The 27,760-nt window shown below is 39.4% G+C and overlaps 1 protein-coding gene across 6 annotated transcripts in view; it reads right to left on the bottom strand.

Moving 5' to 3' along the window:
* Positions 1 to 27,760, bottom strand: part of IL1RL1 (interleukin 1 receptor like 1) — a 40,794-nt gene that overhangs the window by 5,604 nt on the left and 7,430 nt on the right. The window contains exons 1-9 of one of the 6 annotated variants that reach the window (NR_104167.2): positions 9,416 to 9,496; positions 8,428 to 8,637; positions 7,706 to 7,916; positions 6,481 to 6,655; positions 5,925 to 6,087; positions 5,396 to 5,565; positions 4,459 to 4,530; positions 3,576 to 3,717; positions 653 to 3,483 (exon numbers count right to left, since the gene is read on the bottom strand). Coding sequence is in view for 5 of the 6 variants with exons in the window: in NM_003856.4 (NP_003847.2) it covers positions 3,321 to 3,483; positions 3,576 to 3,717; positions 4,459 to 4,530; positions 5,925 to 6,087; positions 6,481 to 6,655; positions 7,706 to 7,916; positions 8,428 to 8,488 (987 nt within the window). In the remaining variant the exon portion in view is untranslated. Of the gene's footprint in view, positions 1 to 652; positions 3,484 to 3,575; positions 3,718 to 4,458; positions 4,531 to 5,395; positions 5,566 to 5,924; positions 6,088 to 6,480; positions 6,656 to 7,705; positions 7,917 to 8,427; positions 8,638 to 9,415; positions 9,497 to 27,760 lie in introns of those variants that run through there. The other 5 variants (XM_006712839.4, NM_003856.4, NM_016232.5 and 2 more) reach the window with 5 other exon arrangements.

Raw genomic sequence — 27,760 nt, 5'->3', positions numbered from 1 at the left:
TTATCAAGGTGATGTGACACAAAATTGGGGGGAAAAAGTGAAAATTGACAAAGAGCTTACTGTCATCAGGTTAAATAATGAAAACTCCGTAAGTAAATCATTTCAACAGGATTCCTTTCCAGGTCACTCTCTCTCTAAAATCCCCAGCTGGATGCACAGAGGAATGTGTACTTCCTGTGGGGATTGCTGGGAAGTAACCATGCCATTGGCTGGACGCTTCCAAGTAGAGGAAAGAAGTTGATCCAAGACATCAGAGGAAGTCTTCGTAAGTGTGAATTATTTTATAAAAGTATAAGTAATTCAGGTATGTGATGACAAAACATTACTTTCTGTATACACATATAGCTAGGAAAATGCTGGCTGTGTTTGAATCCTTGCTCCATAACTGTAGTATTTCGCAAGTTATTCAACTTTCTTTGTCTTTTACTTTGAAGTATTGAGAAAATAAATGAGAAAGTTAAATGTAAAATAAGCAGATGAGTCCTTGTACATAGGAAATAATGAATAAATGTGTATTATTATTATGAGCATCAAATATGTATTTAGTAATAGTTAATAAAATGGAGACATAGGCCTTTCAAGTTTTTGTTCTCTTAAATTCAAGAAATGCTATAATTTCAGAAATAAAAAAGAATTCATCATGACAACTCAATAGCAGTAGTAATAATTTGTGTTTAATTTATACAGTTGCTGAAACAGAGTGTAACCATGTTGATTTAAAGAAAAACAGGTGAAATACAAATAAGCTAGAAGGAGCAAAATCATTAAACACCTGTAACACGAAGATAATTCAAACACATAGGTAACCAGGGACATTGATCAATGATAACGTAGCAAAGCAGGAGTACACAAGGGCAGTGTGAGTGGGCAGGCTGGATGGATGGCTGCAGGGTCTACTGGGCCCACCACCACCCCAAGCATGGCCCTCACATAGCACCTTGATGGGGTCCACAGCCTTCCTGGGGTGCCACACTTATCACTGGCAGACACCAGAGACCCACAGAACACTACGGCACTTATAGCCATCTACATGAGTTATGATTCTGTTTATTTTATGAAAAACTTACAAATCAGGGGTTAAAGTCAAAATTAAAACAAGAAAAACCCCACATAGCACTTCAGGCAGAGACCTGCCACGATTACACCATATTGGGGGCCCGCTGTCCCCACACCCCTATCCTTTCTCCTCCTGTTGTGCCTCTCTCTGTGTATCTGGATGAATCCTAACCATACCACACACATGGGTGGGAACTCAGGGTTTAACACTCTTTGGCTATTTGACAGGCACATTAAACAATTTCTACATGATTGTACAGCCCCTGAGGAGTGATGAGTGTAAAAATATATTTCTCTCTTTCCTTCCTTTTATACGGGATACAATGCTTCATATAGCAAACAGGATGTCTTTGCCTGGATATGTGAAGAACAAGTGAGGAAACTGGCAAGTGCTCAGGAGTGAAATGCTTGGAAAGCTGTTTTCCAAGACAACATTGCATTCAGAGACACACCAAGGGAGTGGGGAGAAGGATCAGTCCACCTCTGTGGGAAGAGCACTTCATCTCTGATGTTTCACATTGTCTGGGCATAGTGATGATAAAAAGCACAATGACTTGTAGACAGCTTTATCACTGTTTTGAAAACTCTGTAGAAAACATATCCCCTTCTTGCCTGCACCCAGGAAGGATCACTCTCTCCACCCTGCTTTGGCTATTTGTGATGCCACCAATTATTTATATATAAAAAAGAATGTTACATTTTTAAAAGATTATATAGTGTCTGAAATTAACCCAATAAAGATTCATCAGTTTCATGTTGTCCTTTTATTGTGTCAAATTATAATGATATCATTAAAATCCTGCTAGATTCAGAAAAAACTGTAGGGAAGCAATAAACAATTTGACTTTCCAAATGATGAGGAAAGTTATTGAATTTACCAAACATAAATATAAAAATAGTATTTTGTTGTATAATTAAGACTTATAGCTAGAGAAGTAGAAATGTACACAAAAAAAACATTTGGTATCAATAATTTGGTTGTGCATTCATTTATTCAGTCAACAAATATTTAGCTGAGCACTGGCTAGCTGCCAGGTATTGCACTAAGGACCCAAAGATGGAAGAGATGATGTCCCTGCCCTCATGGAGCTTGCAGTCGTGTTGAGCAGACTGTCAAACAGATTTAGGTAAGGCAATGTGACCAGTGCTATGATACAAACAGGATGCTACAAGAGTACTTGGAAAGTGTGTATACTGCAAACTGAGGGCCAAGAAAGGCTCCCTGGAATACGTGGTACCTGAATTACATGGTGAATAACAGATGCAATAAAGAAATGGGCTGAGCTACCAGACTTCCCGTGTGTTCCATGTACCTTAAATACTTTACAAAGTTTAACAATGATAATGTGTGTGGTATGGTTTGGGTCTGTGTTCCTGCCCAAATCTCATGCTGAATGGTAATCCCCAGTATTCGAGGTGGAGCCTGGTGGGAGGTGATTGGATCATGGGGGTGAGTTCATCATGAATGGTTTAGCACCATCTCTTTGATGCTGTCCTTGCAATAGTGAGTGACTTCTCATGAGATCTGGCTGTTTCAGTGTGGCACCTCTCTCTCGCTCCTGCTTTTACTGTGTGAAGTGCCTGCCTTTGCTTTGCCTTCTGCCATGAGTAAAGCTCCTGAGGTGTCCCCAGAAGCAGATGCCGCCATGCTTCCCATACAGCCTGCAGAACTGTGAGCCAATTAAACCTCTTTTCATATAAATCACCCAGTCTCAGGTATTTCTTTATATCAATGCAAGAATGGCCTAACAAATGTCTTATTATAAAGTAGCACCTAGGATTTTCTCACTGAAATGGCAGTAGTTTGATACTTCCCCTTTTTGTTCACTTTACCACCCTCGCTAACAAAATGAGTGTTCATTATGACCAGAAAAAGGTATAGAACGGACCATGCTTACAACATGTAATGCAAGTTATAAAAGAGCACAAAAGAACACGTTCAGTTTACGGTTGTTGGTGCATTTCCTTTCACATACAGTGACACAGAGGGAGTTCATAAAGTTAGAAAACAAGGATGACCAAAGAAGCAGCTGAGTGTTCTAGACAAACCAACGATAGGAGGGAGTGGGGGAGGACGAACAATTTAAGCAGCAGAGAAGCTCCCAGCAAACAGGAACAGTCTACAAAGATCAGACAGCAAACAACATCCCGAAGAAGAGAAGCACATTTTATGGCACAGGCCATTCCCATTGTCTTGATGGATCTCTTGGAACCACACTCCATTCTGCTTACACTTGCTAGAGAAAGTTCAGGTGATCAAAGTCTCAGAAACACTCCTTACTTGGATTTTTCCTACTTAGTCTTACGGTGTGCCTTCTCAAGCCATGCAAATTCAGGGCCAGACAGTCGTACTGCAGCAATAAATCCTCTTCCTTCACGTCAGCTATTCTTAAAACCATGTCTAGACAAGCCAGCCCATTGCTGAAACTAAGAAAGCAACCTGTTACTTTTAATGCCTACTTTGCAGGTGCAAACCATGTGCAAGGGGAAGAGGATGGTTCTCTTCAATATAAAAATACCTTTGATTTTGCCCTTCCTCTTGTTGAATTCTTGGTTCACCAAAGTCTGTAATTTTTGTTCCATTAAGCTGCCACAGGACGGCAGCCAAGAACTGAGTGCCTTTTCCAAAACAAGCAGAGCAAGTTAGGTTTGCGTTTTTTCCTAGAGGGGAGTAAGGACATTCACCAATAAAATTAACTTCTGCGACTGGCATTTTATCCCATTTAATGTAAAAAAAAAACCTTACTGAACACTTAGTATGCACCCCACCAGGACCTCCCTCCCTCATCTCTAGCACCTTCCTCTTTCTATGTCCTCTCTTGCCTCCTCCCTGCTTCCATTACCTTCATTCACCCAGCTGGGTTTGAAGCTCAGCTCCCACTATATTCTCATCTGCATGGGAAACTAACAAGGCCAATGATTCTGCCTTCACCAACCCCACATTACAAAGGATTTCTAGTAAAAGGATTGCCCTCTACTAGAAATTAGAGTTTCTTTCCAACTGCCCTCTTCCACATCTTTCTACAGAACTCTCTTCATCTCTCCATAAGCTACTTTGAAGATAAACATGTTTTACCGGATCTGGCTACCATTGCCCAGAATGAACACCCTGCAGGTCTCCATCCCAAGCTCTGGGATAGAGATGAAGATGAAATTAGATGCATACATGAAAGCATCATGAATTACAAAGTACAATAAACAAATGTAAACACTGCAATTGCTGTGTCCCTGTTCCCAATATTAGCAAATGCTTGGGGCAGGTGCTTTCAGGGATGTCACCTCACTTACTCCTCAAGGTTCCTTATGCTAATTGCCTGACCCCTGCTAAGGGAATTCAGAACAGGGGTCATATGGAAGGATTTTTCCAGGCAATATTTACAGCATTCTGATAAATTTTCTTACCAATTTCCACTTCCTTTATTTCATTTTGTGCAGGGGCTCCGATTACTGGAAACAGAGAAAAGCCTTGCTCATCTTAAAGACAAAAAGAAATATAAATATTAGGAGAGCATTGAATGCTAGTCAATATAAAGCTTGTATTTTCATGTTTCTATTCTATTTCATAGCAATGTTTTTCAAGTTCTTCTGACAATAACCCATAATGACAAACACACACACACACACACACACACACACACACACACACACACGAAACAGAAAGGCACTTAAATAAAACTTTCTTTTATTACCTATGATGCTCTTTAATATCATTATTCTCTGATATCACTTAAACAAATGCAGATCCAACCCATAAAACTAATTACATGACCTAGTAGTTGTTAGAAAACTACTCTTCTACAGAATAAGAATAAGACTACAGAGAAGATTTCAAAAGACCCATGAAAATAATAAATGGATGAGTCCACAGATTTGCTCGCAGTTCTCCACTAGGGTGGCCCATCCTCAGTGAAATCTTCCCCGTACGGAATTCTGACTCCTGTGACCACTAAGGCTGAAAGACGGGCAGTGCTTATGGAGCACTGCTGCAATCCTCCATCCCTTCATGCTCATTTATTTAATGACAGTGTGATTAAGGACCACTGTAAGGGTTGATATTAAACAGAAAGAGGCACTGATAGGAATGTGGTCTGGTGATGCTTATTTTACAGCGGTGGAGTATTGAAAAACTCCAAAAATTTGTCTCCAATATTGCTTTGCCCTGAAAAAACTGTCATACGTAAAGGGGCTATTACATCTACGTCTGTAGATCGACTTGTGCTAAGGAGACCCCAATCCTTTGTAGATTGATAAGCTATGATTGTGAAATCTTTCCCTTAAATAAGCTTTTATAAAATTTAAAATAACTTGGAAAACACATTTTTAGAATGAAGTGACTTACTCAAGGCCATTGATGATGTTGAAAGTATTGCAAACAAAGATTAAAAACCACTCGACAACATTTATGTACACCATAGTATACCATCACAAAGCCTCTCATTAGACTTTGAATCCAATGAGTATTACTAAAGATTAAGCTCTTTTTTAATTTGCAGAAACTCTGACACCAAACTAGAAAAAAAAAAAAAAAGCTGGTTTTGCTCTCCAAATAGTTGTATTGCCATTCAAAAAAAGTAAGTTAAGTTAGCATTCAGATTGCTTTATCTTTGGAAAATTAAGTCACAAAAAAAGAATAAAGAACAGATGTGGCTTTGAATTAGTAATGTAATTTCCCCCTGAAATTTCTTAAATCTTGATAGTGTGTTCAGAAAACCTCTTTGCGTCATAGTTCAGAATGTATAAGATAAGATGGAGCAGGAGGAAGTAAAGGGAGGAGGGAGAAGTGCAAGAAACCCAACCAGAAGGGCACCGCTGTTCCCACTTCGACTTCTTTCACGTAGTATTCTATCTCATTAATGTCAGTAGCTTACCCTTGACCGTGAAGGACCTGGTCGCCGTCACACTATAATTGGCTCCATTTTCATTGTGTATAAATTTACAGGTGTAATCACCTGCGTCCTCAGTCATCACATTATCAATGACCAAAAATGACTTGTGCGCCCTGTACCTTGATCCTTGAAGAGCCTGACAATTCTGAAATAAGAAATTCCATTTCCTTCTCAGTAATTCTTCACTTTTATTTATTTATCTGTTGACAGAATGTTTGTTGCCTAGGCTGGAGTGAGTGGTGCAATCTGGGCTCGCTGTAACCTCTGCCTTCTAGGTTCAAGTGATTTTCATACCTCAGCCTCCCAAGCTGCTGGGATTACAGGTGTGTGCCACCACACCCAGCTGATTTTTATATTTTTAGTAGAGATGGGGTTTCCTCATGTTGGCCAGGCTGGTCTCAAACTCCTGGCCTCAAGTGATCTGCCTGCCTTGGCCTCCCAAAGTGCTAGGATTACAGGCATGAGCCACTGTGCCCGGCCACTTGTGTCTATTTTAATTGTGTAATTTTCATCTATTTCCTTCCAAATTTCTTCTTACCTTAAACCACTCAAGAGGTGCTGTCCAGTTGTAGAGGTCAATGGTAGGACAATAAATTTTGGAATTTTTTTCTGATCCAGATACTGTTGAATACATCAAATAATCTGGAACATTGCAATCTGATTGTTTTTTATATATGGTGACATTCGCATATCCAGTCCTATTGAATGTGGGACTGTTAAAATAAGTCAGACAATTAAAAGAGTCACTTAGCATTGTGAAATAACTTAATCTAAATTCAGCCTTTACTTAATATTGCTTTTCTTCTTAAAAACCATCAATATACATAATGGTTATTTTATTATTTAAAAATAAACATTAAAATCTAGAGTTTAAATACTTTTTTGTTACACTTGAGCTAAAAACATAGCCCCCATAGTAGCCCTAACAATGACTTCTTCACCATTTATTCATACACTACATCTGCTGTAATGCTGTAATCCCAGTGTAATAAAGATAATTACTATTTATTCAGAGTTTACTCTGTACCAGTGATGATGATGAGCACTTTTCACACATTACCTTAGTTTATTTTCACAATAATGCTTTGAGATGAAATATATTATTACATTATATGCATTTTACAGAGAAGGAAACTGAAGGGCAGAGAAGTAACTTGCTGGCATCGCACAGTTAACTAGTGGCAGAGCATGAATTTGACACTTGTCTAGTCTCAGACCTAGGCCCTTAACTAATACATCCTGCTTTTTGATTTAATTCATTTGACATTTTGTGTGTGCCAAATACAGCCACAAAATCAAAACATTTAACAATTTGTGAACAAAAGTAATTAATTTTTAGGCACACAATCTCATCAGCCTTCTGTGGCTTAACTTGAAGGTTAGAAGCCCCTTTTCACCTACTAGAGGCCCCCTGAGATGGAAAACATCCAGATTACTATTTTCTGTGCTAGTTTGTTCTTAATTCCAGCCAAAAGTAAGCAATTGCTCTCAGTTATCTTGGTCACTAGGAAAGCTAGGTTTTTCTCTAAGTCAGCTACAAATCAATCCCTGCAACTGTAAATCCAAATAGCTCAGAATGAGCTAGACCTCAACCTGATAGTATTCCTAGAAGTTTATCCAAATCACTTTTATTCAAATCATTTTATAAATTTAACTGTTCCAGAAAGGACTAGGGAAGGAATGAAAGCAAGGGCAGCTCAGGCAATCAACCACTGAAGAAAGGGGAGCAGGGTGAAAGAAGATGGGAGCCTTCTGCATAATACCTTCTGACAATACAGGTATAAATACCAGAATCAGCAACTGCAGCTGGTAGAAACTTCAGAAGTTGGCCTGAGGCAAACACACGATTTCTTTCCTGAGTGGGAATACTTTTGTTTGTTTGTGAGTAATACCAATCCACGGTGTAACTAGGTTTTCCTTGTCTAGGACATCTTACAATTAAAGCCTCATTTTCCAGGCCCCATGATTGTTTACCTGCAAATAAAAGATATAAAGACAATCCTGAAATGATCAAATGAAAAGATCATAATTCTTATACTCTCAATATTTTCTTCTAGGATTAAATTTAGAAGCCGGTCATATACTGTGATACCTTGGGAAAGAATAAGTAACTGTTAAGATCTCTTATGAAATGTTAATGAATTAATTTGGAGCTAAATCCCCCACAGTTATCCAATGGAAAAGCAGCCTTATCTATCTAAACAAACTGTGTGTCAGTCAATAAACATCCACAACACTTCCCATGTGCAGGCACCACATTAAATTCTGCTGCATTTGAATATGCAAAGCCAAACTGATGATATATTCATTACAAAGAATTTCTTCTGATAGATTTGTAATGAAAAATGATTGTACAAAAGCAATATATTTTTCAGTTTACAATTCAACTGGAACAACTGGAAGCAAACTGCTTAAAACAAGGTAAATGTTCTTGAAATTATTTAATTTATAAAAATTTAAATTATACTTAGAAGGCAATACTTACTAAACTTTGCTGCTGTGGAATACATGAGAATTGTGAGAATTGCTAAGATCCAAAACCCCATTCTGTTTATCAATCAAGAGCAAGTATTGGTAACTCGTTGTTGAGATTACTCCAGATGAGTCACTGGCATACGACAGTGAAGGTCACCACACATGAGGCAGTTGGTGATACTCTTCAAGACTGAGTTGGGAAGAGTAGCCTATATCTCAACTGAAAAATAAGTTAGACAAAACCATAAACAGAATTTTTATCAGCCATGATTTTTACTTTCTCAGCACCACCCAGGAGAATGAATCAGTCAACACATATTTATTAAGTGCAAAGAGATGTAACAGCAGGTTTCAGATATGCAAGCATTGCACTTATTCCTATGGAAGTTTTGGGTCATATAGCTTTCACAATGATCATGCTATTTCACAGTTATCATGCTACTTCGCAGTTATATTTCACCAGTCTCATGAGAATGTCCTGAAAGAAACTAAATTAAGAAGGAAAGAATATGAGTTTCTATTTTTGAAAAAAAAACCATAAAATTCAGTAGACTTTAGAAAATAAAATGTATCATGTGAAACCACAGACATCCACACAGGCTGGTAGCAGCATGCTCACAAAAATAACTCACAAACAGACACATGTGCAAGTAGTCATCACAAAGCAACTAAGGAGTAGCAAAATCAGAACTAGACTAAAGCATTAGCCAAGTAATTGTCCTATTCTCAACCCCAAACCCTCAAACTTTTGTTCCTGACTCAGCTTGTTCCCAGGAGTCACCAAAGGCTTTCTAAGAGTAGTTGAAGGTCTATGAATAATAATAAATACATTAATTTTTTCTTTCAGAAAAATAATCATTTACTTTCTTACTTCTTTTCTTAAAATATAAGGGGAAGAATAGAACCAACATAGAAATTTACTAACATAAAGATAAACACAATCATGAATTATGAAGACTTTTCTTATTACAAATTTTAGATAAGTAATTGATGCTTACCCAAACTGAAAGACAGAGGGGATGAACTTGGAGTCAGTGACGGAGCTAAGAATAGTTTCCAGTCTTTGTAGGTCCCTCCTCATAGACTACTCACTCTCTTCTATTTTAAAGGGGAGACACTCCTCCCATCCTGAAATTTGATTTGTGGCCAAATCTATGACTTGTTCAAAAATGCTGGTGCATCATGTACTAAGAATTCTTGATGTTGACAAATAAATATTTAAACATAAAAACAACATTGAGTAATCCCTTGAGAGGAAATAATTGAATCATTTCCTCCTATTTTAGAATCAACTTCTCAGGCTGATTAATAACTAATGCTTATTGCCTGTACCCCGATATTGGGACACTTTCAGTTCTAAATGGTCTTGACATCGGGGACCTGGAGGCTGCCTTTCCAGATATTCCTTGACTCCTCATTTGGCAGACACCACTCAGGAAAGCTCCGCCAGCCTTGGCAGCATTGGTGCCAGGAGTTTCAAAAGCAAAGGTGGGGGAGAGGAAATGCGAAGTAAGCAGCACTTTCTGGAACTTAGAAATTCTCTGTCTAGGTTCCAGAATGTGACTCCACCCCATCCCAAAACAGATTTCAGCTCCTTGGATTTAAGTCCCAGTAGGCCTCTCTGCCTGGATGAAGAAAAAAAAAAAGGAGCTTTTCTAGAGTGCATAGAGTGCAGAGAAAGAGAAGGAGAGTGTGACTAAGAAGCTTCCCTCAAGGGGAGTGACAAAGAAAACCATAACCCTGAACTCTAGGGCTCCAGGTAAAACAAACTTGAAAAGCAAAATTTGATTTTAGCTATGCATAGTTGCGATGACCCTATCATGAGTAAACTCAACCTACGTTTATAAGTCATCACATCTCAGAAGGATTCAGGAACTAATTCCAGACCCATATAATAATATAATGATAATAGCTAACTTTTCTTTAGAATGTCCTCTATGCCAGACACAGTCTAAGTGATTTACATGTATTAATTCCTTCATTCTCACACTCACCCAATGTGGCAGGCGCTATTATTATGATGCCCATTTTACAGACAAGGACACTGAGGCACAGAGAGATTAAGCAACTTGCCCATGTCACTTCACATTAAGGGGTGAAGTCAGAATTTGAACTCAAGAAGGCTGGCTCTGAAGACTAGACTAATCACAGAATCCAACTGCCACTGCTTGTGGAAGGTTCAGAAAGGAGTAGCTGCAAAAGGGAGAGTTATCAGTACGTTTTTTGAGCCAGCGTCTTTGCTCCCCATGGGGGCTGGGACTACTCTTGAATCTCTTATCTGTCAGGGGTTTAGTCAGCCTTTCAGCCTGTGGAGTGGCTCTGAGAGGAAGAGATACACAGTCCTTTGACCGCGGGGAGATTGACCATGAGATGTTCGCCGTAAATTAGAGGAATTAGGTCTGCACATTATTATTCTTGACCTACTTGTGGAAGTCCGTTTTATCAGGATATTATTGCAGTTTGGGTGTGAGATCACAGCCAGGAGCCAGCGAGTCTGCAATGCTGCCTGCGATTCCCCAAGTGCTGAATAGGTTTGTTCAATAAAATAACACAAACTCGGAATTCTTTTACATTTGGTATCCCAAAACATCTTTTTAAAACATGTATTAAGTTGGAGCATTCATTCTTAAACTAGGCCACGTAAGCATTAGTTTCTCAGTTTAAAAAATAAAGCTTCCATCAATTTTAACATCATAATGATGAAATTCTGCAGGAGTATTTATTAAAGTTGAACTCTTCCTATAAAATAATTCAGTTGTTCATTTGACAATTAAGACCTTTCATTCAAAGTACAATACTCTGTGGTACTTATCATTAACATCACTCAAATTTTATAGTTACAAATAAAAACCCAAGGATAAGACTGTTTAAGTAATTTGACAAAGTTCACCCAGTTGTGGCTGGGGTTGAAACCAGACTTGCTGAACTTCAAAGTCAAGCTTTTCTCCCCCCAATGTCAACTAAAAAAAGAGAACATTCTCTATACCAGAGATTAGGCTGGTAAAGCTTTTCTTTTTATAATTTGGACTGGGTTATTAAAATAAGCTAGTCTATAATTTCTTCTTTGAAAAGAACTAAATTATTTTGGCTTCTCACTATTCAGGCACCATTCAACATAACAGAGAGTAGTTTATAGCAACTTAAGACAAACTGCAAAAAGGCAAGGGCTTCTAATACATGAATAAAGCAAGGCATTTTAAGCACCCATAAATTTCTGCCAACTTAATCAGAAATCTTCCAGTGTCCGCTTGTTTCTCTGGCAAACACCCACTTTTTTAAGACTTCTCATAACTACTCTCCCTTTTCAGATTAATCTCATAGAATCTAAGCTCATTGAACCAGCTTTTTCTTAATTTTGTTACAGTTTTGAAATCCTGTATGTGCCTATTTATAATCTACTTCACTTACATAACCATTAAAAAAACAAAAAACAAAAGAACAAACAAAACCTTATGTTTTGAGGGCAACAACTAACTGCTGGCATATGGAATGTGACACTCAAATACTTCCGAACTTAGAAGGTATCTTTCAAGACTTCTTCATTTGACTTAGCAGATATCACACTGAAATGTAAAATGTAAATGTCCTAACACACTCCAGAGCTGGCCATGTGTGGCCTGCTCTTACTGTAAACCAGTGTCAAAAGACAGGGAACTTGGTTACATTAATCTTATATGAATTTCAGTGAGTCAGGCTCTCATTCAGTGACTCTCACAATAAGCTGGGGATGGATGTTTTTTTTCCCCTCATTTCACTAGAGGACATCTGGGTATCATTTTTATTCTGTTTTTTTATTTTTTTTTATTGATGAAAATGTTTTCAGGACCTGCAGTGGATGGGGCAGAACAAGCATGCCCCTAGACGGCCTAGCCTGGGCCTCTGGAGAATATGCTGGGCCCCCCAGCTCCATTAGCTGTGTAGCTGTGGGCAAAGTGCTTGTCTCTGGGATCCTTCTTGCCCATACTCCAAACTCTAGGCCCACTCAAGCCTCCACTCCTTCCCTCCAAACTCCTTCTTGCTTCACCCAATCCTCCCCTCCAAAAACCAGAAGACCCGTCTGAATGGCTATTATCAAAAACTCAAAAAACAGCAGATGTTGGCATGGATATGGAGAAAAGGGAATGCTTATACATTGTTGCTGGGAATGTCAATTAGTTCAATCTCTAAGGAAAACAGTATGAAGATTTCTCAATGAACCAAAAGTAAAACTACCATTCAACCCAGAAATCTCACTACTTTTCTAAGGAAAAGAAATTAGTGTATAAAAAAGACACCTCTCCACCTCTACTAGTATGTTCACTGCAGCACGGTTCACAATAGGAAAGTCATGGAACCAACTCAAGTGTCCATCAACGGTTGACTAGATAAAGAAAATGTTGTACCTATGCACCACGGATTACTATTCAGCCATAAAAAGAATGAGATTATGTCCTTTGCTACATGGATGGAGCTGGAGACCATTATCTTAAGTGAACCAGTTAAGAAACAGAAAACCAAATACCACATGTTCTTACTCATATGTGGGAGCTAAACCATGGGTACTCATGGACATAAAGATGGAAATAATAGACACTGGGGACTCCAAAAGTAGGGAGGGTAGGGGGTGATGAATGAAAAATTACCTACTGGGTACAATATTCACAATTTGGGTAAGACCAGTCCCCACCAGTAATGCAATATACCTTTGTAACAAACAAGTACATGTACCTTAGAATCTAAAATTTAAAAAAACAAACAAACAAAAACAGAAGAAACCATCATATATTCAAGGAACAAGTGGAATTCACAAAAGCTTCATGTCTCCAGAACAGAACTTCTGATCTCCTCCAGCCTCCTTGCCTCCCTTGCCCCAAAGAAAATTCAGCATCTCCCATTGTCTTCTAATTGTAATGATGACAACTCCATGCTGAATGTTGGCTCAGACCAAGACTCCATTTATTATTGACTCTTCTCTTCCTCACATATTGAACATGCAATCCATCAGGACAACTTATGGTTTCATCTTCAAAGGACATCCTACCTGCAATTGCATCTCTCCATTCTCAATGCCACCATCCTTGTCCAAGCCACCATGGTCTCTCACTTGGATTTTAATAACTGCTTCTAAATTGCTATCCCTGCTTCCACTTGTACCCTCTTAAGTATATTCCTAAAACAGACACTCTGGAGATTCTGTTAGAACCTAGGTCAAATCAAGGGGGCCTCCAAAGTCTTCCACCTCACCCAGAGGAAAAGCCAACGTCTTTACAGAAGCTGGGAGGTACCACACGATGGAACACCACCAATCACCTCTCTGACCCCTCCCCTCCAACCCCGTATCCTCATTGCTGTTCCTTGAAGGCACTAGGCAGACATTGTTCCTTCTGCCTGGACAGCTTCTTCCTGTTACCCACCTCCTCCAAGAGCTAACTTACCTCCTCCAAGTGAGCACTCAAACTGTACATTCTCTGTGAGACTTAGCCTAACTACTCAATTTTCTGTTCTTTTTTTGCTTCTGATTTTTAAAAATTGCGCTGAAATTTACATAACATAAAATTAACTATTTCGAAGTGCACAATTTAGTGACATTTGGTACATTCACAATGTGGTACAACCACTAACTCTATCTAGTTTCAAAACATTTTCACCATCCCCGAGTATAACCCCATACCCATTAACATGAAGTCCCCATTCTTCCTCTTCCACCACAAACCCATAGCCACCACCAATCTGCTTTCTGATTCTATGGGTTTATCTATTCTGAATATTTCCTATAAATGGAGTCACACAATAAGTGCCCTTTGTGACTGCCTTATTTCACTTAGCATAATCTTTCCAAGTTTTGTTCATATTGTAGCATGGGTCTGTACTTTATTGTTTCTAATGACTGAATAATATTCCACTGTGTGTGCCTACCACACTTTGTTTATCCATTCATCCCTTAATGGGCATCTGGGTTGCTTCTAGCTATTGACTATTTTGAATAATGCTGCTATCGGTGTCCAAGTATTTGTTTGAGTTCCTGACCAATCAATTTTGAATTGCAATGTCTCCTCTCCCAATCCCCATCTCCTTAACCTGCTCCAATCTTTTTCTAAGGCATTCATCACTTCTAACATTCTACTTATGCATCATGTTTATTATTTTCTGTTTTATCCATTGGAATATGACCTCCAGAAGGCAATATTATTTTTGTGAGTTTTGTCTATTGATATAGCTCATGTGCCTGGAAGAGCACCAAGTAGGTGCTCAGAAATGTTTACTTATTATCATTATTATTATTATTTCTGAGGCAAGGTCTCACTCTTTCACCCAGGATGGAGTGCAGTGGTGTGATCATGGCTCACTGCAGTCTCCACCTCCCAGGCTCAGGTGATCCTCCCACCTCAGCCTCCAGAATAGCTGGGACTACATGCACACATCACCATGCCCAGCTAATTTTTGTATTTTTCGTAGAGATGGGGTTTCACCATATTGCCAAAGCTGGTCTCAAACATCTGGGCTCAAGAGATCCACCAACCTTGACCTCCCAAAGTGCTGGGATTACAGGCTTGAGTCACCATGCCCAGCCTCAGAAATATTTATTGAATGAACCAGTACAGATGACCAAGGGATGGAATTTGGGATTCAAAAAATAAAGCTTTTATATATGGATCTAAACAGGAGCAGTCTGTCTTTCACCATGCTCTTACATCTCTACCCCGAATATCTGTCTTATTTCTTTTATCTTATCGGAAGATGAGACCTGAGTCACCCTTGGGAGGTCCCATGGGAACTCCTGGGCCGAGAACAGATGGAGCATAGAGAGCCAGAAGAAGCTCTGTGGACTGCAGACACTCAGGAAAAAGAAATGGGCTGGTGGCCATGTGAAAAACAGCCAGCAGTCTTAACAGTTTGCACATGTGAAATGACTAAATCATCATTAAGATCCCTTCAAGACTAATATTTTAGACCATTGTGTAATTTCTCACATACTAATTCCACAGACTTTATTGCTGTGGTCTGCATTTGTCGTCCTTTATTTAGTTCATGTACATCTTTTGTCCTGAGGTCAGTGTAACTTATTCTCCCAGCAGCAGAATCTGCTTCTAAAGCTTCTATGGAAATCTAAAGTCTGCATGGCAAATTAAAGTCCTGGGAATACCCAAGACATGGTTAAAGAAAAAGAACAAAGTCAGAGAACTTACACAACCTGACCTTAAGACTTAATATAAAAGCTACCATAGTGAAAACAGTGTGGTATGGGCATAAAGACAGACATGTTGATCAAAGAAGAGAGAGTCCAGAAGTAGACTCAAAAATATATAGTAAATTGATGTTTGATTAAAGTGCCAACATAAGTTTATTGTGAAAAACACTGCCTTCGACACATAATGATAGAAAAATTGACTCTCTATGTGAAAAAGCTCTACCTCATATTATACAGAAAAATGAAATAAAAATGGATTGTATTACATAACAGAACATCTTAAACCTGAAGTAGGAACATATTTTTTAAATGGATACAAAAATCACTAATCATGAAAGAAAAATAAATCATAGCTGGGACTTTATTAAAATTAGAAACTTTTCTTCTTCAAAGACATCATTAGAATTTGAATAGACTAAGCCACAGTCCAGACAAAATACTCATAATTTGCATATCAGATGAAAGACTTGTATCTATACTTCATAAATAACTCTTACAAGTTCATATGAAAAAGATAAAATAGCCCAATTTTTAAAATGAGGAAAAGACTTGTACTGATATTTCACAAAAGAAAATATATCAATGTTCAATAAGCACAGGACAAAGTGCACAAAGTTACTAGTTATTAGATAAATGTAAACAATTAAAATCACAATGAGATTCTACTTCTTCTTTTTATTATACTTTAAGTTTTAGGGTACATGTGCACAACGTGCAGGTTTTTTACATATGTATACATGTGCCATGTTTGTGTATTGCACCCATTAACTTGTCATTTAGGATTAGGTATATCTCCTAATGCTATGCCTCCCCCCTCCCCCCACCCCACAACAGGCCGTGGTGTGTGATGTTCCCCTTCCTGTGTCCATGTGTTCTCATTGTCCAATTCCCATCTATGAGTGAGAACATGTGGTGTTCGGTTTTTTGTCCTTGCGATAGTTTGCTGAGAATGATGGTTTCCAGTTTCATCCATGTCCCTACAAAGGACATGAACTCATCATCTTTTTATGGCTGCATAGTATTCCATGGTGTACATGTACCACATTTTCTTAATCCAGTCTATCATTGTTGGACATTTGGCTTGGTTCCAAGTCTTTGCTATTGTGAATAGTGCCGCTATAAACATATATATGCATGTGTCTTTATAGCAGCATGATTTATAATCCTTTGGGTATATACCCAGTAATGGGATGGCTGAGTCAAATGGTAATTCTAGTTCTAGATCCCTGAGGAATCGCCACACTGACTTCCACAATGGTTGAACTAGTTTACAGTCCCACCAACGGTGTAAAAGTGTTCCTATTTCTCCACATCCTCTCCAGCACCTGTTGTTTCCTGGCTTTTTAATAATCACCATTCTAACTGGTGTGAGATGGTATCTCATTGTGGTTTTGATTTGCATTTCTCTGATGGCCAGTGATGATGAGCAATTTTTCACGTGTCTTTTGGCTGCATAAATGTCTTATTTTGAGAAGTGTCTGTTCATATCCTTTGCCCACTTTTTGATGGGGTTGTTTGTTTTTTTCTTGTAAATTTGTTTGAGTTAATTGTAGATTCTGGATATTAGCCTTTGTCAGATAAGTAGATTGCAAAAATTTTCTCCCATTCTGTAAGTTGCCTGTTCACTCTGATGGTAGTTTCTTTCACTGTGCAGAAGCTCTTTAGTTTAATTAGATCCCATTTGTCAACTTTGTCTTTTGTTGCCATTGCTTTTGGTGTTTTAGACATGAAGTCCTTGCCCATGCCTATGTCCTGAATGGTATTGCCTAGGTTTTCTTCTAGGGTTTTTATGGTTTTAGGTCTAAAATTTCAGTCTTTAATCCATCTTGAATTAATTTTTGTATAAGGTGTAAGGAAGGGATCCAGTTTCAGCTTTCTACATATGGCTAGCCAGATATCCCAGCACCCTTTGTTAAATAGGGAATCCTTTCCCCATTTCTTGTTTTTGTCAGGTTTGTCAAAGATCAGATACTTGTAGACATGCAGCATTATTTCTGAGGGCTCTGTTCTGTTCCATTGATCTATATCTCTGTTTTGGTACAAGTACCATGCTGTTTTGGTTACTGTAGCCTTGTAGTATAGTTTGAAGTCAGGTAGCGTGATGCCTCCAGCTTTGTTCTTTTGACTTAGGATTGACTTGGCAATGTGGGCTCTTTTTTGGTTCTGTGTGAACTTTAAAGTAGTTTTTTCCAATTCTGTGAAGAAAGTCATTGGTAGCTTGATGGGGATGGCATTGAATCTATAAATTAACTTGGGCAGTATGGCCATTTTCATGATATTGAGTCTTCCTACCTATGAGCATGGAATGTTCTTCCATTTGTTTGTATCCTCCTTTATTTCATTGAGCAGTGGTTTGCAGTTCTCCTTGAAGAGGTCCTTCACATCCCTTGTAAGTTGGATTCCTAGGTATTTCATTCTCTTGAAGCAATTGTGAATGGGAGTTCACTCATGATTTGGCTGTTTGTCTGTTATTGGTGTATAAGAATGCTTGCGATTTTTGCACGTTGATTTTTTATCCTGAGACTTTGCTGAAGTTGCCTATCAGCTTAAGGAGATGATGGGGTTTTCTAGATATACAATCATGTCATCTGCAAACAGGGACAATTTGACTTCCTCTTTTCCTAATTGAATACCCTTTATTTCCTTCTCCTGCCTGATTGCCCTGGCCAGAACTTCCAACAGTATGTTGAATAGGAGTGGTGAGAGAGGGCATCCCTGTCTCATGCCAGTTTTCAAAGGGAATGCTTCCAGTTTTTGCCCATTCAGTATGATATTGGCTGTGGGTTTGTCATAGATAGCTCTTATTATTTTGAGATACGTCCCATCAATACCTAATTTATTGAGAGTTTTTAGCATGAAGGGTTGTTGAATTTTGTCAAAGGCCTTTTCTGCATCTATTGAGATAATCATGTGGTTTTTGTCATTGGTTCTGTTTATATGCTGGATTATGTTTATCGATTTGTGTATGTTGAACCAGCCTTGCATCCCAGAGATGAAGCCCACTTGATCATGGTGGATAAGCTTTTTGATGTGCTGCTGGATTTGGTTTGCCAGTATTTTATTGAGGATTTTTGCATCAATGTTCATCAGGGATATTGGTCTAAAATTCTCTTTTTTTGTTGTGTCTCTGCCAGGCTTTGGTATCAGGATGATGCTGGCCTCATAAAATGCGTTAGGGAGGATTCCCTCTTTTTCTATTGATTGGAATAGTTTCAGAAGGAATGGTAACAGCTCCTCCTTGTACCTCTGGTAGAATTCGGCTGTGAATCCATCTGGTCCTGGACTTTTTTTGGTTGGTAAGCTATTAATTATTGCCTCAATTTCAGAGCCTGTTATTGGTCTATTCAGAGATTCAAGTTCTTCCTGGTTTAGTCTTGGGAGAGTGTATGTGAACAGGAATTTATCCATTTCTTGTAGATTTTCTAGTTTATTTGCATAGAGGTGTTTATAGTATTCTCTGATGGTAGTTTGTATTTCTGTGGGATCGGTGGTGATATCGCCTTTGTCATTTTTTATTGCGTCTATTTGATTCTTCTCCCTTTTCTTCTTTATTAGTCTTGCTAGCGGTCTATCAATTTTGTTGATCTTTTCAAAAAACCAGCTCCTGTATTCATTGATTTTTTGAAGGGTTTTTTGTGTCTCTATTTCCTCCAGTTCTGCTCTGATCTTAGTTATTTCTTGCCTTCTGCTAACTTTTGAATGTGTTTGCTCTTGCTTCTCTAGTTCTTTTAATTGTGATGTTAGTGTGTCAATTTTAGATCTTTCCTGCTTTCTCTTGTGGGCTTTTAGTGCTATAAATTTCCCTGTACACACTGCTTTAAATATGTCCCAGAGATTCTGGTATGTTGTGTCTTTGTTCTCGTTGGTTTCAAAGAACATCTTTATTTCTGCCTTCATTTCGTTATGTACCCAGTAGTCATTCAGGAGCAGGTTGTTCAGTTTCCATGTAGTTGAGCGGTTTTGAGTAAGTTTCTTAATCCTGAGTTCTAGTTTGATTGCACTGTGGTCTAAGAGAGAGTTTGTTATAATTTCTGTTCTTTTACATTTGCTGAGGAGTGCTTTATTTCCAACTATGTGGTCAATTTTGGAATAGGTGTGGTGTGGTGCTGAAAAAAATGTATATTCTGTTGATTTTGGGTGGAGAGTTCTGTAGATGTCTATTAGGTCTGCTTGGTGCAGAGCTGAGTTCAACTCCTGGATATCCTTGTTAACTTTCTGTCTCGTTGATCTGTCTAATGTTTCCAGTGGGGTGTTAAAGTCTCCCATTATTATTGTGTGGGAGTCTAAGTCTCTTTGTAGATCTCTAAGGACTTGCTTTATGAATCTGGGTGCTCCTGTATTGGGTGCATATATATTTAGGATAGTTAGCTCTTCTTGTTGAATTGATCCCTTTACCATTATTTAATGGCCTTCTGTGTCTCTTTTGATCTTTGTTGGTTTAAAGTCTGTTTTATCAGAGACTAGGATTGCAACCCCTGCCTTTTTTTTGTTTTCCATTTGCTTGGTAGATCTTCCGCCATCCCTTTATTTTGAGTCTATGTGTGTCCCGGCATGTGAGATGGGTTTCCTGAATATAACACACTGATGGGTCTTGACTCTTTATCCAATTTGCCAGTCTGTGTCTTTTAATTGGAGCACTTAGCCCATTTACATTTAAGGTTAATATTGTTATGTGTGAATTTGATCCTATCATTATGATGTTTGCTATTTATTTTGCTCGTTAGTTGATGCATTTTCTTCCTAGCCTTGATGGTCTTTACAATTTGGCATGTTTTTGCAGTGGCTGGTACCGGTTGTTCCTTTCCATGTTTAGTGCTTCCTTCAGGAGCTCTTGTAGGGCAGGCCTGGTGGTGACAAAATCTCTCAGCATTTGCTTGTCTGTAAAGTATTTTATTTCTCCTTCACTTATGAAGCTTAGTTTGGCTAGATATGAAATTCTGGGTTGAAAATTCTTTTCTTTAAGAATGTTGAATATTGGCCCCCACTCTCTTCTGGCTTGTAGAGTTTCTGCCAAGAGATCAGCTTTTAGTCTGATGGGCTTCCCCTTGTGGGTAACCCGACCTTTCTCTCTGGCTGCCCTTAACATTTTTGCCTTCATTTCAACTTTGGTGAATCTGACAATTATGTGTCTTGGAGTTGCTCTTCTCAAGGAGTATCTTTGTGGTGTTCTCTGTATTTCCTGAATTTGAATGTTGGCCTGCCTTGCTAGATTGGGGAAGTTCTCCTGGATAATACCCTGCAGAGTGTTTTCCAACTTGGTTCCATTCTACCTGTCACTTTCAGGTATACCAATCAGATGTAGATTTGGTCTTTTCACATAGTCCCATATTTCTTGGAGACTTTGTTCGTTTCCTTTTATTCTACTTTCTCTAAACTTCTCTTCTCACTTCGTTTCATTCATTTGATCTTCCGTCACTGATACCCTTTCTTCCAGTTGATCAAATCGGCTACTGAGGCTTGCGCATTCATCACGTAGTTCTCGTGCCATGGTTTTCAGCTCCATCAGGTCCTTTAAGGACTTCTCTGCATTGGTTATTCTAGTTAGCCATTCATCTAATTTTTTTTCAAGGTTTTTAACTTCTTTGCCATGGGTTCGAACTTCCTCCTTTAGCTCGGTGTAGTTTGATCATCTGAAGCCTTCTTCTCTCAACTCGTCAAAGTCATTCTCCATCCAGCTTTGTTCCATTGCTGGTGAGGAGCTGTGTTCCTCTGGAGGAGGAGGGGTGCTCTGATTTTTAGAGTTTCCAGTTTTTCTGCTCTGTTTTTTCCCCATCTTTGTGGTTTTATCTACCTTTGGTCTTTGATGATGATGACATACAGATGGGGTTTTGGTGTGGATGTCGTTTCTGTTTGTTAGTTTTCCTTCTAACTGTCAGGACCCTCAGCTGCAGATCTGTTGGAGTTTGCTGGAGTTCCACTCCAGACCCTGTTTGCCTGGGTATCAGCAGCAGAGGCTGCAGAACAGCGGATATTGGTGAACAGCAAATGTTGCTGCCTGATCGTTCCTCTGGAAGTTTTGTCTCAGAGGAGTACCCAGCTGTGTGAGGTGTCAGACTGCCCCCTACTGGGGGGTGCCTCCCAGTTAGGCTACTCGGGGGTCAGGGACCTACTTGAGGAGGCAGTCTGTCCGTTCTCAGATCTCCAGCTGCGTGCTGGGAGAACCACTACTCTCTTCAAAGCTGTCAGACAGGTTCATTTAAGTCTGCAGAGGTTTCTGCTGCCTTTTGTTTAGCTATGCCCTGCCCCCAGAGGTGCAGTCTACAGAGGCAGGCAGGCCTCCTTGAGCTGCAGTGGGCTCTACCCAGTTCGAGCTTCCCGGCTGCTTTGTTTACCCACTCAAGCCTCAGCAATGGTGGGCACGCCTCCCACAGCCTCGCTGCCAACTTGCAGTTTGATCTCAGACTGCTCTGCTAGCAACGAGCGAGGCTCCACGGGTGTAGGACCCTCCAAGCCAGGTGCAGGATATAATCTCCTGGTGTGCCATTTGCTAAGACCATTGGAAAAGCACAGTATTAGGGTGGGAGTGACCCGATTTTCCAGGTGCCATCTGTCACCCCTTTCTTTGACTAGGAAAGGGAATTCCCTGACCCCTTGCACTTCCTGGGTGAAGCGATGCCTCGCCCTGCTTTGGCTCACGCTCAGTGCTCTGCACCCACTGTCCTGCACCCACTATCCGACACGCCCCAGTGAGATGAACCCAGTACCTCAGTTGGAAATGCAGAAATCACCTGTCTTCTGTGTCGCTCACGCTGGGAGCTGTAGACTGTAGCTGTTCCTATTTGGCCATCTTGGCTCCACAATATCGAGATTCTATTTCATAGCTAATAAAAAAGACTGACAATACCAAATTTTGGCAAGGATGTGGCACACCTAGAACTCTCATGCATCATTGATGGAGTGTAACATGATACAGTGAACATAGTTTGGCAGTTTCTGATTATGTGCTTGTGTTACACTCCAGAAATTCTCTTCCTGGGGATTTACCTAAGAGAAATAAAAACTTATGCACACAAAAAGACTTGTACACAAATGTTCATACCAGTTCAATTCATATAGCCAAATACTGGAAACAAGACCAATGACCGTCAGCACATATATGGCTAAACTATTCTATATTCATACAATGGAACACTACTCAGCAAAAAAAAAAAAAAGAACTACTGATGAATCTTAGAAACATACTGAATGAAAGAAGCCAGTTTTAAAAGAATGCATATTATATCGTCCCATTTATATAATGTTCCCAAACTGCAAGGCCAGTGAGTGGGTACCTAGAATGGAAGATGAAGGGTAGCAATTACTTATAAAGGAGTATGAGAGAGATTTGTGGAATATGTCAATTGAGATGATGGTTTCAGAGGTGGTATGCATGGATATTTGTACCCTCCTCACCTCATGTTGAAATTTGATCCCCAATATTGAAGGTGGGGCTTAAGGGGGAGCATTTGGGTCATGGGGGTGGATCCCTCATGAATAGATTAATTCCCTCCTTCAATCCCCTCCCTTGGTGGTGAGTTCTCACTCTATTACTTCCCATGGGAGCTGGCTGTTAAAAAGAACTTAGCACTCCCCCACCCCTTGCTTCTTCTCTCCCATGTGATCTCTGCACAAGCCACCTCCCCTTAACCTTCCACCAGGATTGGAAGCAGCCTGAGGCCCTCACCAGATGCAGTTGCCCAGTCTTGAACTTTGCAGCCATTAAAATCATGAGCCAAATAAACTTTTTCTTAATAAATTACCCAGCCTCAGGTATTATTTTATAGCAATACAAAACAAAGCCAATGGAGTATACATGTATCAAAACTTATTGAACTTTACACTTAAAAATGTGTGTATTTTAGTGTATATAAATTATATACACCATATATATATACACACACACACACACACACACTATATATATATATATATATATATATAAAACCTAACAAAAAGTTAAAGAACATCTACTGTATGGCTCAATAACTCCCCCCTTACCCAAGAGAATTAACAAACATATCCACAAAACACTTGTAAAAGAATGTTCATAAATGCCATACTCATAATACCAAAAATTAAACATAATCCAAATGTCTATCAACAGGAGAATGGATCCTTTTTTTAATGTAAACTACTCAGCAATGAAAAGGAAGGAAATACTGATATAACCATAGGATGACTGTCAAAAACATCATGTTATGTAACTCTGAGTTCATTTCCAAACAAAAAAATAATAAAGCCTTGCTCCTGAAAAATTATGCTAAGCAAAAGAAACTAAACACAGAAGACTACATATTACATATCATACCTATAGGAAGCCCAACAATAGGCAAATTATAATCTATCATGCTGGAAACTAGAGAGTATGTGGAAATTTGATTGGAAAGGTGTGAGGGCAACTCTCTGGGAAGAAGAAATGCTTTCTGTGCTGTTGGGATGGTGATATGGATGATGATACATGGGGGATATGATTGCTGAATCTCATTCAACTGAATATGTAAGATTGATGCTTTTAATTGAATATTAGTTGTTTCTCAACAAGTAAAGTAAAAGAAAAGAGTAGAAAATCATATTCTCTCATTATGTAATAAGAAGAGAACTGTATTGAAGTCGGGAGACCCAGATTCATTTCTGGGATCTGTCACAACACGATAAATGTCCACTGGAGGCCTTGCCAATATTTTATCATCAAGCTCCTCATAATAAGCCAGCTGTAGAGGAAATGGTTCCTTTTCAAAAATTATTCATAGAACAAGTTGTCCTGTGAATAATTCTGGTTTCGATCATTTTTCCCTCAAAACTTTTAGATAAGTTTCCGCTCTGAATTTATTTCCATTTTTCCATATAAGATTAAGGGCAATGGGACAGGCAACACAAAAGCATGAAGGATGGCCAGAAGGACAGCACTGTGGAATGTGAGCAGCAGAAGGCCTGAAGAGCAAAGACTGAGGTTTCCCAAAGAAGAAGGAATTCTGCCTCAAGACTGCAACACAGAAACCCCGCCTGAAATTCCGACTGGCTGCCTTATGGAATTCAGAGTCAAGACTACAACACCAACTCTTATCTGAATTTCCAGTCTGCCAGCCTGCCTTGTAGCTTTTAGACTGCCAGGCCCCACAATCTCATGAGTCAGTTCCTTAAAATAGATAGAGAGAGTATAGATAGATTAGGTAGATACATAGATACATAGATAGATAATCTCCTATTAGCTCTGTCTCTCTGGAGAATTCTAAGACAGCACATATCAATGACAAGACTAATCAGACTAGAGTTGTTTGACTTCGGACTGTTTTAAATGTAACTATAGCGAACCGCACAATAATGTTTTTACCTTGACCACTTAAGAATGATTTAATTTTCCTCTTAATCTCCATCATCTCAAATTTGCTATGTATTGCTGATATCTCTGTGAAACAGTTTCACTTGTGTTTTCTACAATTTCCTTTGCTTGGAAGATGCAAAGAGGGGTGGATTTATGATTCCTTGGTGATTTTGGTAAGTTTGAGAGAGAGATTGGGTCATCCACCACCACTGTGCTTCCTCCAGTAAATTCATGTTTGCAGCCTTAAATGTAGATGCATCTAGTAATTACTCGGACCATAAAATATCAGGAGGGTCGGGGGCAGTGGCTATTGACTCATCAGTGGTAAGGATGTCAGTGTTCTAACATCTAACATGGCCGCACATACCAACACTGCATCAACTGGGCTTAGAAAAGCAAATACTGAACCCAGAAAACCAGTTGTTCTGCATCAACTGAGCTTAGAAAAGCAAAATACTGAACCCAGACAACCAGTGAGGGTTATTCTTTCATGCCAATCACTGTTTCAGATGCTGGGGATACAGCAATGCACCACACAGAGCAAAGGGAAACAAAAATCTCCTGCCCTTGTGGAATTCATGTCCTACAGGAGGACAATAAGTAACATAAAGAAATAAAAAAAAGTTACAAAAGATCTTAGAGTGTGATCCACTTAAGGAGAAAAATACAGCAGGAGGAGAGCAATTTCAGGCCAGATGTCCTGGGAAGGCCAACTAGGAAGGAGACATTTAATAAACAGCCCAGGTCGAAAGGGCAGGCAGCATGAAAGTCCAGCCATGGAGGCAAGCCTGGTGTGTCCGAGGGCCAGTAGGGAAGCCACATGGCCAACAGGGCATGAGGAACTCCAGAGCAGTGAGAGCTGGTTGGAGAGGGGTAGAGACTAGATTGCGAGTGAGTCACCCTGAGCACCTTGGCTTTTATTAAGTGTGATGAAGACCACTGGAGTGTTTCAAGCTAAGGAGTGACATGACCTCAAACTTGACGTAGGTATTAAACACTCTGAATGTGAAAACACTCTTAAGAATGGCAAGGGATGAGGTATCCAGGTGAGACAGAGACGGTGGCTATGACCAGGGCGGGGAAGTGCAGGTGGTGAGACATGATTGGGATGCAGATAGATTTTGAGGGTAGAACTAGTAGGACTTCTTGATGGACAGGATATGAGAGCAGTCAAGAGAGGTTTGGGGCCCTGAGTAACTGGTCAAATAGGGTTGCTAGTTACTGAATTAGGAAATGGCAGGTGGTATAGGTTTTAGAGTAGGATTACACTAGTTTTGGCCATATTCAGCTTGACACCTCATTAGACATAAAACTGGAGATGTGAACCCATCAGTAGGATGAATATCTGCTTCTGAAATTCAGGAGACATATTGGGCTAGAGATACAAATTTGGGATATGTCACTGTATAGATGAAATTAAACCCATGAGACCAGGTAAGATCTTCAAAAGAGTGGAAGTAGCTAGGCCATGAGGGCACAATAGAGCAACTTCTGATTTTCACTGTAAAACATCCCAGAGAATAAGTGTTCATCCTTCCCTGAAGGATGAATTTGGATCTCTGCATACAACACTGCAGAGGTGGTGAGCATCTGGCATGAAGTGACCCTGAGTTCTGACCCAGGCCAGCTGCACTGACCTCACCACCTTAAAGACGACACTGGAGTAAACACAAACCAAAGCTGTGCGATAAGGCATTGTATAGGCACCAAACAGTTTTTTGCTTTTTTCCCCACCATGGGGTAAAAGAAAATAATGCAGGACAAAACCTAACCCACTGACATTAAGACATTTTTGTTTTGAAAGACTTCTTATAGTTTATTAAAAGGTAACAGAAAGAGAATAAAGAAAAGTTTTTAAAATAACAAAGCAAAAGAAAGGGCTGGGAGTGATGGTTCACACCAGTAATCCCAGCACTTTGGGAGGCTGAGGTGGGAGGACTGCTGGAGCCCAGGAGTTCAACACTAGCCTGGGCAACATAGTAAGTCCCCATCTCTACAAAAAATTTAAAAATTAGTCTGCCATGATGGCACATGCCCATGGTCCCAGCTTCTTGGGAGGCTGAGGCAAGAGGATCGCTTGAGCCTGGGAGGTCAAGGCTGCAATGAGCCATGATCATGTCACTGCACTACAGCCTGGATGACAGAATGACATCTTGTGTCACAAAAAAAAGAAAAGAGGGCGAGAGATACAAAAGATACTGAGAATATGCCCCAAAATTCTATAAGGGCAGAAATCCTGCCTTATAGCCTGCTGGATCACTATAGGCACCTAGTGTACTAGCTTACACTGAGTTGGTGGTTAATAAATATTTGGTAATTGTTTGAAAAACACAGCCCATAAATCCACACCTACATGTACATTTTATCCCCTCATCAAATGTATTTAAGTGTGAAGGCTAATATTTACCTTCATTTTGTTGCACCTCCCTTTCTTTTCTGTTTCTCTTCTGTGACTGCACTGTATAATAATTGTTCTCATTGACAATATTTGTATCTAAAAAAATTGTTCCATCAAAGCATAGTTGTTAAGAGAAAGAGTTGAATCCTAGCTAGCAGAGGCAGTTTGGTAACAATCACTAGCAAAGGGGAGGGAGATATATTTGTGATTATATAGCATTTGTGTTTTCAAAATGTGTTCTATGGACAGTCACTTCAGGATATTTTAATTGACTCCTCAGTTAAAAAAAAAAGTGTAAGAAATGTACAGCCAAACACATTGCAATAAGTTCTATTCCCAAAGGACCTTTGAAACCTTTTAATAAGCAGATATTTCTAACCACCAGGAAGATATAGCCTGCTGAGTTTTCCGAGCTGATTTACTTATTTTTAAATTCTTTTATGTTAGAATCCCTTCTTTCTTTGTTTTCCTTGTTT

This window comes from Homo sapiens, chromosome 2 (assembly GCF_000001405.40).
Source record: "Homo sapiens chromosome 2, GRCh38.p14 Primary Assembly".
In the NCBI taxonomy this organism is placed as follows: domain Eukaryota; kingdom Metazoa; phylum Chordata; class Mammalia; order Primates; family Hominidae; genus Homo; species Homo sapiens.
The sequence above is the reverse complement of the archived record's forward strand: the minus strand, read 5'-3'. Positions and strand labels throughout refer to the sequence as shown.